The 15,085-nt window shown below is 34.9% G+C and overlaps 1 protein-coding gene across 7 annotated transcripts in view, besides 3 other annotated features; it reads left to right on the top strand.

Annotated features, from left to right (window-relative positions):
- VPS50 (VPS50 subunit of EARP/GARPII complex) overlaps positions 1–15,085 on the top strand; it is a 128,758-nt gene that overhangs the window by 15,797 nt on the left and 97,876 nt on the right. For 6 of the 7 annotated variants that reach the window (NM_001257998.2, NM_017667.4, XM_011516396.4 and 3 more), the window contains 7 exons: positions 4,491–4,613; positions 5,698–5,769; positions 8,347–8,400; positions 9,232–9,302; positions 9,997–10,114; positions 10,195–10,230; positions 11,388–11,470. In NM_001257998.2, the coding sequence (NP_001244927.1) occupies positions 4,491–4,613; positions 5,698–5,769; positions 8,347–8,400; positions 9,232–9,302; positions 9,997–10,114; positions 10,195–10,230; positions 11,388–11,470 (557 nt within the window). Of the gene's footprint in view, positions 1–4,490; positions 4,614–5,697; positions 5,770–8,346; positions 8,401–9,231; positions 9,303–9,996; positions 10,115–10,194; positions 10,231–11,387; positions 11,471–11,496; positions 13,652–15,085 lie in introns of those variants that run through there. The other variant, XM_024446826.2, reaches the window with a different exon arrangement.
- Positions 12,867–13,368: an enhancer, noted in NCBI's record as "H3K4me1 hESC enhancer chr7:92890341-92890842 (GRCh37/hg19 assembly coordinates)". NCBI's record gives its function as "activates a minimal SCP1, AML or CMV promoter by ChIP-STARR-seq in naive H9 embryonic stem cells {active_cell/tissue: H9 hESC(naive)}" and the evidence as "EXISTENCE:reporter gene assay evidence [ECO:0000049][PMID:30033119]".
- Positions 12,867–13,415: a biological region, named in NCBI's record as "H3K4me1 hESC enhancer GRCh37_chr7:92890341-92890842".
- Positions 13,213–13,415: a silencer, noted in NCBI's record as "fragment chr7:92890687-92890889 (GRCh37/hg19 assembly coordinates)". NCBI's record gives its function as "represses an EF-1alpha promoter that drives an FKBP-Casp9 reporter gene in an ReSE screen in K562 erythroleukemia cells {active_cell/tissue: K562}" and the evidence as "EXISTENCE:reporter gene assay evidence [ECO:0000049][PMID:32094911]".

The following is a 15,085-nucleotide window of genomic DNA, read 5'->3' on the forward strand; positions in this document are numbered from 1 at the left end:
ATCCTAGACTTAGTTTGAATATCTAATATTATTATAATTTTTTTCTTAAATCATATGTTTAAGTATGGTGTAAGAAGTTCCATTTGGTATTCATTTCCCCCAATTTTGCCTTGTAATTTTTTTATAGGAAACTTTTTGTTCATTTTGTTTATGTAAAATTTGGGCTCACACCTATGTATTGGTTCTATTTTAGGTGAAGAATTATGTATTTTTGTACATCTCCCACCCTAGGGAATCAGTTTCTATTAAATTATGTAGTAATTGTGTTAAGAATAGGCAATCTGGTTGCTTCTGTTTATTTTTCTAATTTACATGTGTAAAATATTCCTAAATCAGTTCACATCGTTATCTCTAATTAAAAGAAAGAAATGTTTTACTAAGAGTTGGTGGAAAATTTTGACTATTGAAACAAGAGCATATTGTCTTTTCCTTTCCTTTTGTCTTATATTCATTTTTTGCAATTAACTGTAAATTAATTTTAGTTTGATCAGTGATTATCTATGGTGTGCCTTGGCACTGTGGAGCAGCGTGATGGAGAATGAAGAGAAATCTCAGTTCTCAAGAAGTGTACAGTCTGATTGAGCAGGCAGCCCTAACAGCGATGAAACATTTGGACAATGATTAGGTAGAAGCAGAGCTTTACAGACTGCTAGTTCAGTGGGACTAAAAAGAACACGGTGATCGGGATTCTAATCAGAAGGGGGTTTGAATAAGTTCCAGTTCAGATGTATATTTTCACATAGAAGTTATGAAATTGTTTTAAAGGAGAGGATATTTTATAGGGAAATAATATTACATAGGGGCATTTGTTTTAGATTTAATTCTATTTTGTATGCTACATTTCTTTTTCTGATTTTCTAGGTTTTATTCCTTTCCTTAGTCCAGGTTTCTTACACTTCAGAGTATCAGGTGTTCCATGTCAGTTCTTTGAAATTATATGGGGTTGTATGCTCTCTGTGATACTAATTGCTTAGTTCTTTAGGAAAGAATAGCATTTGACATACATATACAGATTGTACTCCTTTTACAGATTCATCATGTTTTTGAAATGTACACTTGTGAGATACTTATAAATTATGTTTTTTCTTTGGCATTCTTAATAACTTCGGATATTTGTTTCACTGTCATTTTGAGAGAGACACAGAGAGAGAGAGAGAGAAAGAGAGAGAGAGAATGCATGTTTGCCCTTTACAGGTGAAAAAAAAACTAGGCATGAAGAGACTAAGTTGCCGAGGGTTAATGATGGAATTGCAGCTAAAAATCCAAGTATCTTTACCTTCTTATCAATCAATTAGGTACTATATGGAGAACCTCAGCATGGTGTTATATGTCATTGACATTTATGCTTTTAAGATGAAAGTACTCAATTGTTGCAGTCTATTTGAATTTCTGGCTTGGCTCTATTTCTGATTTAAAAAAATCGTAGCAGTTTTTGTAATCTTCAAATATTTTGTCTTGAATGGTATCAACTGCATTTATTTGCTCATGTTGCTGCAGACTGCAGAATTCCTAGGGAGGCAGTGTTGCCATGTCCTCACTTGGGCCTCATTTCCTCCCCTCCCTCAGCTTACAGTATATGAAGCTGATATTTCAAATGCCTGTGGACTTTTAGGGAAAGAGATTTCCAGGAAGTGCAGACCTCCTCTTCCATTTCATTTCTGACTTTCATTTCATATTTCAATTGGATGCATGGAGGCTGCCTGTTGATAGGCTAGTTGGTAACCTTCCCTTCCACACGTGTGAGTTTTAACCAAGTCTGTGCGGCAGCACCACTGTCCAGGGTGCTAAATGGATTCCTGTGTTGTAGATAAACCCCTTCAGGAATGTAGTTCCCACTGTTGGGACCCTGGATTTCTTACTGCAATCATAGTAACTGATTGCACGCTGACTCAGTGATAGCTATGTCATTGACCTTTTTTTCTCGGTGTATTTTATGAGTTAGCACAGAAGAGGGATTTTCTTTTCCAAGCATATTTGATTATTCAGGTTTGATATTTATGAGTTTGCCTTCTCTTTTAAGTTTATTGGAACTTTACATTTAAACAGTCAACATTTTCTTGAGTTTTAGATTTGTTCTATTTTTTTGGCTTGAAATTACTAATAGGGAATAATTTTATAGTTAGTTTTACAAATACAAAATATAAGTTAAACTCTAAAAGATATCTGAGCAAGGCTCTTCTTACAAATAAAAAATATGCCCTGCAATAAAATAATCTAGAATGTCTCTATTTGAAAAATATACTGTTCTTTGATCTTTCACAAACCTGACAAAAACAAGCAATGGGGAAAGGAGTCCCTATTTAATAAATGGTGCTGGGAAAATTGGCTAGCCATATGCAGAAAGCTGGATCCCTTCTTTACACCTTATACAAAAGTTAACCCAAGATGGATTAAAGACTTAAATGTAAGACCTAAAACTATAAAAACCCTAGAAGAAAACCTAGGCAATACCATTCAGGACATAGGCATGGGCAAAGACTTCATGACTAAGATGCCAAAAGCAATGGCAACAAAAACCAAAATAGACAAATGGGATCTGATTAAACTAAAGAGCTTCTGCACAGCAAAAGAAATTACCATCAGAGTGAAAAGGCAACCTACAGAATGGGAGAAAATGTTTGCAATCTATCCATCTGACAAAGAGCTAATATCCAGAATCTACAAAGAAATTAAACAAATTTACAAGAAAAAAACAACCCCATCAAAAAGTGGGTGAGGGATATAAACAGACACTTCTCAAAAGAAGCCAACAAACATATGAAAAAAAGCTCATCATCCCTGGTCATTAGGGAAATCCAAATCAAAACCACAATGAGATACCATTTCACGCCAGTTAGAATGGCGATCATTAAAAAGTCAGGAAACAACAGATGCTGGAGAGGATGTGGAGAAATAAGAATGCTTTTACACTGTTGCTGGGAGTGTAAATTAGTTCAACCATTGTGGAAGACAGTGTGGCAATTCCTCAAGGATCTAGAACTAGAAATACCATTTGACCGAGCAGTCTCATTATTGGGTATATACCCAAAGGATTATAGATCATTCTATACAGATACATGCACACGCATGTTTATTGCGGCACTATTCACAATAGCAGAGACTTGGAAGCAACCCAAATGCCCATCAAGGATAGACTGTATAAAGAAAATGTGGCACATATATACCTTGTAATATATGCAGCCATAAAAAAGGATGAGTTCATGTCCTTTGCAAGTACATGGATGAAGCTGGAAAGCGTCATTCACAGCAAACTAACACAAGAATAGAAAACCAAACACTGCATGTTCTCACTTATAAGTGGGAGTTGAACAATGAGAACACATAGAGGGGAACGTCACACACTGGGGCTTATTGGGGGGTGGGGGGCTAGGGGAGGGATAGCATTAGGAGAAATACCTAATGTAGATGATGAGTTGATGGGTGCAGCAAACCACGATGGCATGTGTATACCTATGTAACAAACCTGCACATTCTGCACATGTACCCCAGAACTCAAAGTATCATAAAAAGTGAAAAAAGAAAAATATACTGTTCTTTAACTGACCAGATAATTTTTGTACATTTCCTTAGTATTTTTATTGTGTTATTTTAATTACTGAAAATGATTTAAAACAATAGTTCCTTTTTGTGTATATAAATGTATTTGAGGTTAATTTGAATTAAAAATCAAATGGCTAACTTGTGATATGTCTATAATGTCTTGATTAACTAGTGTGGCAGGGGAGTGGGTATCTGAATTGTAAAAATTTACTAGTTAACTGAAGCTTTATCTGATTATGCAGTGAAATTGCATAGGATAGGGATGCTGACATTGGGTTTAGGGATTTGTCTGTCATGCTGTTCTTCAAATCCACAGAACCTCCATTCTGTATCATTAGAAAGAAAGCATTTTATCATATAGAGAAGTTTAGCTTCATAATCAGATCATTAATTGTAACAGCAATCCACTTTGAAGGAAGCCTCATAGTATTACAGAACTAAATTTGTGAACCTTTTCTGGAGCCACTGTTTCTTAGCTGAGTACTGAGATTTTTTTAGCAGGGTTGATGTCTTCTATTCAGGACTCCAAAGTTGATTGTGACCCAGAAGTTATTGAGGTGTTCTTCCCTTATTATCTGTGGTGAGACAGATTTTAGAATATTATTAAATAGTAAAATTTATATATCTGTGATATGTATGTATGATATGTTTAGGTAGTCACTTTTTTTTCTTTTGTTGGACATTAAAATTTTTATCAACCTTGTTGATGTGCAAGGAATTGAGAATAAAATCTAAATATTCAAACTGGCTAGTTTTCTTCTGTAGTTGTTAGTGTTAATGGTCGGCTAGTTCCTAATTTCCTGTGAACTTTTCTGATTTCTGTTGGTTTGTATCCTTGGTCAGAATCGTTCCAGGTAGATGTGACTGTTAAGACAAATGATCATTTATTTCCATGCAGATATAATTTTAACAGCTACAATTACTATAATTGTGATTTTTTTTTCTTAAAGGAAGAATTCAGGGAACTTCGAGAACAGCCAAGTGACCCTCAAGCTGAACAAGAGCTTATTAATAGTATTGAACAAGTATATTTTTCTGTGGATTCATTTGATATTGTTAAATATGAGCTGGAGGTAAACAGAATTTCATTAAAACATAACTAAGGCCTGTTTTGTTCAGTGATTGGATTTATGAGATTTGAATACTTTTTTGAGGCATTTATGTATTTTTGGTACCAGAATAGGTCTGTGATTACCACATTGTGATTAAATCAACTGTCAGCATTGTTTGGCGATGAAATTATTATTTTTTGAATGTAACTTTAAATACAACCGTTCAGGGAAACATTTCTGTATTTTTGGTTTTCAATTGTTAGTATTTAATGTGTTAGTATGCTGTTTCTATCCTATTTTATAGTATCTATGTTTAGAGAAGCTCAGACTTTTAATTACAAAATATGTATTTACATAATTGTTTAGTGATGATAAAAATTCTTATGCCATAGTGTTTATAATACTGACATTTTAAATTTATAAGAACTTTAACGAAAGTCAGAATAGTGAAATTTAGTCTTAGATACAACCAAATGCTGTATGCATATATACTTTATATGCATTATTCACAGTCAGTCCCCAGCTCAGTTTGAAGTTTCATCAGTCAGTTGACTGAGATTGTTTCCCTGTATATGGTATGCATTTTTTGGTTAGTTTCCCATACTGTCCTCTGAAAGCTGATGTAATCCAGAATGTAGTCCAACAACTGTCACACAGTAGTACTTATGGTTTGTAATATTCCAGAGGAGAAATCTGTTTTGAGTTCTATCATAAACAAATAGAGATATATCTGTGGATGGTAGAGTTGGGGTTAGGTTAGTTACTGTCTCACATTCTCCTGTCACAGGCCGTGGCAGCAGTGTCTGTCGGCCTAGGGTCCAGAGTCCCCAGTGGTAGTGGGGTTTCTCAGAAGGCAGAGCAGCAGCAGTGGGGGTAACAAGGCTGAATGAGGGGTGGAACCAGAGGGCTGTGTACTAAAGATGTATAGGCTTTTGTGGTTGGAACCTAGGAGGGAGGTTGGGAGGACAGGTGGCATGGAGGGCAGTGGGATGTGACACTGTTTTGTATGCACAGTTTGTAGTTCACTAGTCAGAAGGGTCCAGGTAAATGAAACCAAATTAAACAATTTATTTTTTCCTCTTCTTTCATGAATTTTTTTCTGTAGAAGCTTCCACCTGTTCTCAATTTGCAAGAATTAGAGGCGTATAGAGACAAATTGAAACAACAGCAAGCTGCAGTAAGTAAAAAAAAAACACATTTCTTTCTGGCAAAACTCTAGATGAAACACAACAGAGAGGTATAATGTTTGCAGATTTATGGTTTTAACTAACAATTAACATAGAAACAAATCTTGTTATTTAACATGACTGATTCAAATGATGCATTTACATTAAAAATTTAATGCGTATGGTTTTCCTTATGTTACCTTGGTAGATTTACTTCTAGAACTTGGAATTTTCTCTCTGGAATCCTAAATGTGATCAAAGAACTTTGAACTTTGTTTTAGATTAGTAAGTACCTTTAGGCTCCTTGTCATAGACGTATGATTTCCCTACCCATAGTTTTGTAACTGAGTATTCCTTTTTGTTTTTTGAGACAGGGTCTTGCTCTGTTGCCCAGGCTAGAGTGCGATTGCACGATCATGGCTCACTGCAGCCTCTCCCTCCTGGACTCAAATAATCCTCTCACCTCAGCCTCCTGAGTAGTTGGGATTACAGGCATGTGCCACTAGTCTGGCTATTTTTTTAACGTTTTGTAGAGATGACATCTCACTGTTGCCCAGGCTGGTCTTGAACTCTGGGGCCCAAGCGATTCTCCTGTCTCAGCCTCCCAAAGCACTGGAATTAGAGCCGCAAGCCACTTTGCCTGGCCCTGTAATGGAGTATTCTCTCAGAATTAATGTCCCCCTGAGATTCAGAAAGTCTGAATTGTAGTCACTAATTATGATGTTGAGTAAATCATTTAACCTCAGTGACTCCCTTTTGTTTATCAGTAAAGTGATAGGCTTGCATTTTCTTTAATGCGGTAAAATTCTCTGATTGTATAATTTCTTTATGTTAGGCTAAACCCACTTTATGAAATTCAAACTCTACTGTAGGGATTAATTAATGGTAGCATGTGTATTAATTTTTTTCAACAAAAGGACCAGTAGTAATAAGTTTATCGGTTTGAATTTAAGATATGATTTTTAATAATGCAACTGTCAAACAAAGGAAGGTATACTTTTCTATTACACTCAGAAGTCTCAGTGGGTGCTAGGGTCTGCTTGGAGGTAGCAGTGGTGGTATAGGGCAGTCTTGGGCAGGAGAAGGGATTTGAGCTCTAGAGCAGTGGTTGCCAATTCTTTTGGCACCAGGGACCAGTTTTGTGGAAGACAATTTTTCTATGGACTGGCAGGGGTGGGGTAGGGATGGTTTCAGAATGATTCAAGTGCATTTCATTTATTGTGTATTTTATTTCTATTATGGTTACATCATAATATATAATGAAATAATTATACAACTCAGCATAATGTAGAATCAGTGGAATCCCTGAGCTTGTTTTCCTGCAGTTAGACGGTCCCATCTGATGGGAGACAGTGACAGATCATCAGGCATTAGAGTCTCATAAGGAGCACACAACCTAGATTCCTTGCATGTGCAGTTCACAGTAGGGATGGAGTTAGAGCTCTTATGAGAATCTAATGCCACCGCTGATCTGATGAGAGGTGGAGCTCAGGTTGTAATGCAAGTGATGGGGAGCGGCTGTAAATACAGATGAAGCTTCGCTTGCTCACCTGCCACTCACTTCCTGCTGTGTAGCCTGGTTCCCCACAGGCCACGGACCAGTACTCTCTATTAGTAGACAATCCTGTGGAACCTTTGGAATTCTTAAAATGATATTTAGGATTAACATTGATATTTCTTCATTAATTAAAGTCTAAAAGCCATTTAAAATTTGATTTTCTTAACCTTAATGGAATCCCTCTTTCTAGACAAAAACAATGAGTGTATCTAAAAATTAATGTACGTAATTTCAAAGATGCTTGAAGCAGATTAAGAAAATGTGAAAGGATTAATGCAGTAGTGTAGTGGGTGTTCAATGTTTTGTTCTCAGTTGGCCTGGGGAAGGGGAGCCAGTTGTGTTTCTGGAGCAAACTCCCTAAATACCTTCTGTGTGTCCTGCTTCATGCCTCATGTGCTATCTCTGTTAGTGAAGTTGGCAGAGACCCTGAAATGGTGGAATTAGAGCCTCATGTTCAAAAATCATTATACTTCTAACTTGCATACGTTAATATTATTCATAGAACAATACACACAACCTTAGATATCTTCATAGCGTTCCAAAAAACATGTTTTCAGCTTTTCAGAAGTGGAGGACCAAACTACTTGCTTGTCTTCTTAGGCAACATAAAGGATCTAAAGGATACAAGCAAGTTCTTTTTCCCAGATATTGTCGCCATAAATTCAGTTGATTAAAAATCTGCTTAACAATTTCATCTTTTTCAATCAAATCCTATTCCCTTAAAGATGGTTACACTTTTTGGTTAATGTTACTTAAATCAGATAATGATACACATATTATTAACAATAATAATGACCATTTATTGAGTTTCTGTTAAGGACCAGGACCTGTGCTATGTGCTTTATTATATTACCTCTTTTACTAATTTCATAGCCCAGGGAAATGTGTATGGCCATAGTATGCCAATATCTGCTCCCAAAGTTATTGGGGAGATCTATGGAATATTCTTTTAAAAATTCAAATATAAAATATCATAGAAAGCATGAAGTTTGTTCTTTTATTTCCTTTGTTTGATTACATCTTCTTATAGGTATCTAAAAAAGTGGCAGATTTAATCCTTGAAAAACAGCCTGCTTATGTAAAGGTAGGATAATATTTGTTATTTTTTGTAGTAGAATTTTTAAATGTTTGAGTGATTTACACTTGAAACTGTTAAAATATTGTATTTTTTGTCAATAATTCTGTAGCAGCATATTGACTGTTTTTGGGTGTGTTTGTGTATATGTATGTATGTATATTTTTCTTTTTCTTTTGGGGTAATTTACCAAACTGAAGAAGCGAAGGGTTTTTATATATGATTCTAAAGTGATCTCTTGGGTTTTTCAAACTTTAGAAGAGCCAGTGAAAATTGCTCCCATTAACATTTAAACAAATAGATTCACCAATATTGACCACTCATTGGCAATATAACAATCTGGCTTTAAAATATGATAAAATTGGTACTGTCTAACTGAATCTGTGTTTTCATCGGAAAATCAGAGCCTTCAAAATCCATTGAAATGTCTACCAATGTTCAGATGACGACTTTCATTGTCAAAGCATCTTAGTAAACAGAAATCATATTTGTCATATCCTTTAATTACCTTGTGAAGTTCTCTTGGGTAGGAATTTAAACAGATATATTACTGGTATTTGTTTATTCCTGTCTACAAGAAGTTGGGTCTAGATTTCCTTACAAGCAATACTGACTAAATATTTTGTCATCTGTCATTGTGAAAATCAGTTACAAGTAGTCATTTTAAATAATTTTGTGAAAAATATACTAATAGTTTTCAAGTTCAGGTATTTTTGTTGCTACTTTGTTTTTCAAGCAGGTTTTCTTTGCATCTGACTAGAGTTTTTGTTAGAGTACTATATAAATAAGAAAGAAAAATAAAATACCTCCAACAATAACCTGTACCTAATCTTCCCATAGGAACTTGAAAGAGTTACCTCATTGCAGACAGGTCTTCAATTAGCTGCTGTTATCTGTACAAATGGGAGAAGGTATTGCTTTTGATGATATTTTGTTCTTTAAGCTGAACAATATTTCAAGAATAACTATGGAATCTATAATTTATAATTGATTTTTTAAATTATGGATGTGGTTTCTAGAATATCATTCCTTAAGTGAACATATATCATGATCTAAAGACTACACTAAGAGGGTTTGTGGGAAATATCTCTAAGTGTACTTATGGGTTTTAAAAAATTACTATTTTTATATTATTTAGACTAGTGCTTCACAAACTGTTTGTCGTAAAGCACCTACTTTTTTCTTTCTAAAATTTCCAATCTGTTACAGGCTGTGATTTTTTAAAAATGCAGTAAAAACAAATTACTAGGCAAATGAAATAAAGAAGGAAAGACATAATACAGTCTTAATTTTTTTAATTATTAGAGTCACAAAGAATAATTATTCTGTCAGTTTTTGCACTGTGTTTTTAAGCGCTTATTCTCAGTTTCTGTAATTTTTTGTTATAGACCACTAGCAGGTTGTGAATTGGCACCAATCTTCTCGTGGTGTTCTGAGTAATGCTGGTTTAGACTGGCCATTGAGTACATTTGTCAAATAGTAGTTTAAATCCTTGGTTTTAATAGTAATCCATTTCACTGCTTCATTAGTTACCTAATTGTTCTGTGTGGATAGTATTCTTATTATAATAAAAAACTTTTAACTATTTATTGTTCACTTTTGCAGACACTTGAATATTGCAAAGGAAGGTTTTACTCAAGCTAGTTTAGGCCTTCTTGCAAATCAAAGGAAACGTCAGTTGCTGATTGGACTTCTGAAATCTCTGAGAACTATAAAAACATTGGTATATATGGGTCATTTAAAAAAATTAAAACTGAATTTTGTGGTTGAAACAGATTTTACCTTTGATTTTTGTTTTTTCAGCAAAGAACAGATGTACGGTTAAGTGAAATGCTGGAGGTAAGTTAACAAGTTTTGGAAATTTAGGGTCCTACTGATATATAGAAACAGTAAAGCAGACAAAATTCAGAAGTGCATTTTTCTCAAATGGGTTTATGATATAAAGAATATTTTTAGACATGTAAGATTTTTAGACGTCAAAGATTCTTGCTCTGGAGCCTTTTTCTATTGACATGATATTACTTCATTTAGAAAAGCAAATGTATTTGGGAAAACATTTATCTTCTGATAACATTGGAATGTTAACTTGTTTGTATTGCGTCCAAATAGCAATAAAAATTAACATCTTTTTCATCTAACATATAGTAGTAATTTAAGGAATGTGTGATACTTTAGTTTTGTTCAGTATCATGTATTAATTGCTTTTCTGAGTGAGCCATATGTTTTTTCTTTGATGCATTCTTAGCATTTTCTGTCTACTTCTGTCATAAGGTTCACCAAAGCATAATGTAATATGTGTGTCTCCTCATAATACTTGAGCTCCTTGGGGTAGGTACTTTGTCATTATCAGCATCACCAGTGGTTTGAATTGCATCTGTTGAATTTAGAATTGAGCATAGGGAAAAGTTTTTGTGGTTTTCTGTATAATTGTTTTATTACTTCTCAACTATTACTGCTAACTAGGGTTTCAGAAACCCATATGAAAAATTCATTGGGCATTAAATTACTGTTAGGTGATAAAAATACTCTGAGTTTATTAATTAGTGTTTTTTTTCTAAATTTATTTCTTTAGAACTATTTATTGATTTCTTGGTGGTAAATTGTTGACTATCAATTACAAATAGAATGCATACTATTTTGAAACATTTTATGTAGGCAGTACTGAAAGAAGATATGTTAACAGTTAAAGAAAACCTTTCCTGTGAAGCAGCTAATGATTTAATGTAGGATTTATCCATAAGTCATGGAAATGGTCTCAGGGGGCTGTTACTTTGAAGGAATAGAATATTTTAAATATTTCTTCTATGTATATATTTTAGGCCTGGAACTAGTTGCCTCTTATATTTTGTCACTTATCTATCATTGATATTCTAAGAGGAATTAAAGTTTTTTGATTCTGTAACTTTTGGTTAGAATATGAACAGAGATTTTTTTTTATCAGGGGCTTTAAGAAAAAATGTTTCTATTCCAATGACTCCTGTTGTTGTTACCTTAAGGAGGAAGATTATCCAGGAGCTATTCAGTTGTGCCTTGAATGTCAAAAAGCTGCCAGCACTTTTAAACATTACAGTTGTATAAGGTAAGGTCATGTAAATGTTTTAAAGCAGATTCTGTTGTCAGCTTCTTATGTAGCAGCTGTGTAAAAATGTTAATAAACATTGAAAATTAGTATAAAGTGTTGTGTTCTAGTTTAACATTCATATTTATATATGGGCAGTACAATAAAATTATAAATAATAGGCTTTAAGGTGTGAAAGATCAGATACTTTTCATTCCTGCTTTTTCTTGTCACCTCATTGAAACTCATTTTTCATATTTTTTCCAATCCAACTGATTCTATTTTTATAGAGTTGTAGACAAGAATAAATTATCTGTTCATATCTCCAATGCATCTCTTGGGAATTCTTCCTTAACTTTGCCCAGCTTATAAATATTGAGGATATTATTGCAGCTTGTTTTGGAGATCCAGATGGTTCAAGTGTTTGGCTCATCATGATAAAAAGTCTTTTGGAAAATTTAAGTATGGTTTCAATTTATATAATAATAATGTTTGTAATAGTTAAGTGATTATGTATTCAATGTGTTATGTCTTTTGTTTATTATTAAATATACAACAGAAAAATAGCCACTGCATATTTTGCTATTATCTCTAACTTTATTAATAGCATTTTGGTTTGCTTAAAATGAAGGATTTGCATTGCTTGTGACAGTCTTGGGGAAGCTCTAATCCCTAGGTGTAATTTCCAACATTCCTCTAGAGCCATCACAAATAAATGTACAATCTAAGTAAAATAGTGTGCTTGCCAAACAAATCTAGTTTCGAATTAAATTCATACCCATCCCAGATTGCATCCCCTTTGTCTCTCCTATATGGAAATTCTGACATTCAGTGAGCATGACTCACTGTTGTTGTAGATGTTGATTGCTAGTACCTGAAAACTAAAAGAATTATAATAGAGCAAAACATTAATATAAGTTTGAATTAATTTTTAAAAAATTATCTCATATTACAAGTCTTTGCTGGTTATAGGCTAAGGGCTAGATATTTTCCTCCCAGAAATGCTGTTTAAGTCTCTATGGTTTTTTTTTTTCTTTAAAATGTGCAGATTGAAGTTACATGTTTTTTTGTTTGTTTGTTTGTTTGTTTGTTTTTTATTTTAAAGATGGAGTCTCACTCTGTCGCCCAGGCTGGAGTGCAGTGGCGTGATCTTGGCTCACTGCAACCTCTGCCTCCTGGGTTCAAGCGATTCTCCTGCCTCATTCTCCAGAATAGCTGGGATTACAGGTGCACGCCACCATGCGCGGCTAATTTTTGTATTTTTAGTAGAGATGGGGTTTTGCCATGTCAGCCAGGCTGGTCTCTAACTCCACCGCGCCCAGCTTGAAGTTAACACATTTTTTATTTGGTTAGGATATAAATTGAGTAGTACCAGTGATACTTTCATTTTGTCCATTTTGAGAGTGATTAACTGTCATTAGTAGAAACTTGACGATGTCATTTACACTTATTAGGTTAAATAAATAGAGAATTAGTTTTAGTGTGTTGAATGTATTTAGAGATTTCCAACAAGCCATTCTGGGTCCTGAAAAAGCAAATCCATTTGAACCAAAGCATCCATTTAGTTCATTTTGTAGTGATAAATCTGTTATATAGTAACAGCTTATTGGGTGAAAATAATTCAGGCAGTTTACAGAGTGTTTATGCCAGGTACTTTGCTTTGAAATTGTCAGTATGGTGATAAACCACATACAGTGTAATCAGTATAATCCTTGGTTTCATAAAGAACATAATCTATCAAGAAGGACTTATATTAAAGTAGGCACCCATAAAATTAGGCTGTAGGCCGGGCGCGGTGGCTCACGCTTGTAATCCCAGCACATTGGGAGGCCGAGGCGGGCGGATCACGAGGTCAGGAGATCGAGACCATCCTGGCTAACACGGTGAAACCCCGTCTCTACTAAAAATACAAAAAAATTAGCCGGGCCTGGTGGCGGGCGCCTGTAGTCCCAGCTACTCGGGAGGCTGAGGCAGGAGAATGGCGTGAACCTGGGAGGCAGAGCTTGCAGTGAGCCGAGATTGCGCCACTGCACTCCCACCTGGGCCACAGAGCGAGACTCCGTCTCAAAAAAAAAAAAAAAAAAAAAAGAAATTAGGCTGTAGAGAGAAGGAAGTTGTGCATACAGTGGAAGCATTCGGATCTAACTCTCCTTCCGGGATCAAGACTAAGGAGGACCTGAACGAGGAGCAGGAAGACTTGAGGTAGGCCAGGATATGAGAGTTGTGAATAGGAAACTGTCTACACCAGAAATGAAATCTTTGTTGCGGAGTTACCAAGCAAAATGAAGACTGAAAATATGTATCTATTGGATTTATAGCAACAAAGAAGTCATAGTTGACCTTTTGGGGACAGATTTGGTGGGAGTTGGTTGAACTATCAAGTGTAAGGTGAGGAAATTTTGTGATGAGGACAGATGCAGAATTAAGAAGAGGAAACCTCAATATTGGAAAATTGGTAGGAGAGAGTGAGAAGCTGAAAATAAAATAGCATAATAATATACTAAGGCTTTGCAGGGATTATAGCAGAGATTGACTTTGAAAAGGTCACTGTCTGTTATAATAGGAAAGAATGAGCGTGGAATTTGGTGGCAGGAAATTGAGGGAGCAGGTGATGTGTTGAAACTTTTATATAATTAAAAATCTATTTTAGCTATGCTAAAGTAAATGTCTTACATGATGAGTGTTAACTGTAAAAAATGTCTTTGAAAGAAATTCTTATTTGGGCTTTTAAAAATTGATATCAAGTGGCTTCTCAGCACTTTTTAAATTAATGGATATACTGATATGTGGAGGAGGTGTGGCTACAGTTATCGAATGAGGTTAAAAGGTTGAAATGGAAAAGATTTAAATTAATAGTTATTTTAGGTAATACAGTGTATAAGAAGCATGCTATGTTTAGATATGTGAGTCATGCATGTGATAATAAGAAGAATTGGTCTTATTCTCTGCAAATAGGTAAAAGTACATCACACATACATTCAGATATCCCAAGAAATTCTTTGTAATGGGGTTTTACTTTAGGTATCTTAGGAAAACTTAGATAAAGTTGTGTTTTTAACTTGGTGATTTAGTGACAGTGTCAGGGTGACTCAGAGAGCAGGGCTATCAGTTGGAGCTGTCTGGTGGTGATGATAGCCCCTCCGCTAGCATTTCTTCTCCACCCCATACCAGCACAGTATCCTTTGCCAGCCACCATTCACCTGCCTAACACCATTCCCTCTTTCACTTCACCTGTTGTTTCACTCTTTTGTTTATATGGGAGAACATAATAAGTTTGTTCACTTCTTTTGTAGATGATATAATGTGGGATATAAGGATAGAGTTAGTTGACATGTGGGTCACGTTGAGTCCACAAAGATAAAAGACATTGTTATTCTAACATTCTTTTATTTTTGTCTTTATAAATTAGATACACCTCTTTTTTTTTGTTTTTTTTTCTGTGCGTTTTTCTTTCTTTTGCTCTGTTTCCTCTGGTCTTCCCAGTACAGTGTTGCACCTGTTCTTGAGCTCTCTAGTTGGGCCTACTCATACAGGATTCATCCACACTTTTAAAATGTATTTAATTGACTTGGGCTTGTGGAACTTAGCCGAAGGCAAGATTTAATCTTTGCTTGGACATGAGTGAATTAGAGTGAA

Source organism: Homo sapiens, chromosome 7, assembly GCF_000001405.40.
Source record: "Homo sapiens chromosome 7, GRCh38.p14 Primary Assembly".
NCBI classification, from domain to species: Eukaryota; Metazoa; Chordata; class Mammalia; order Primates; family Hominidae; genus Homo; species Homo sapiens.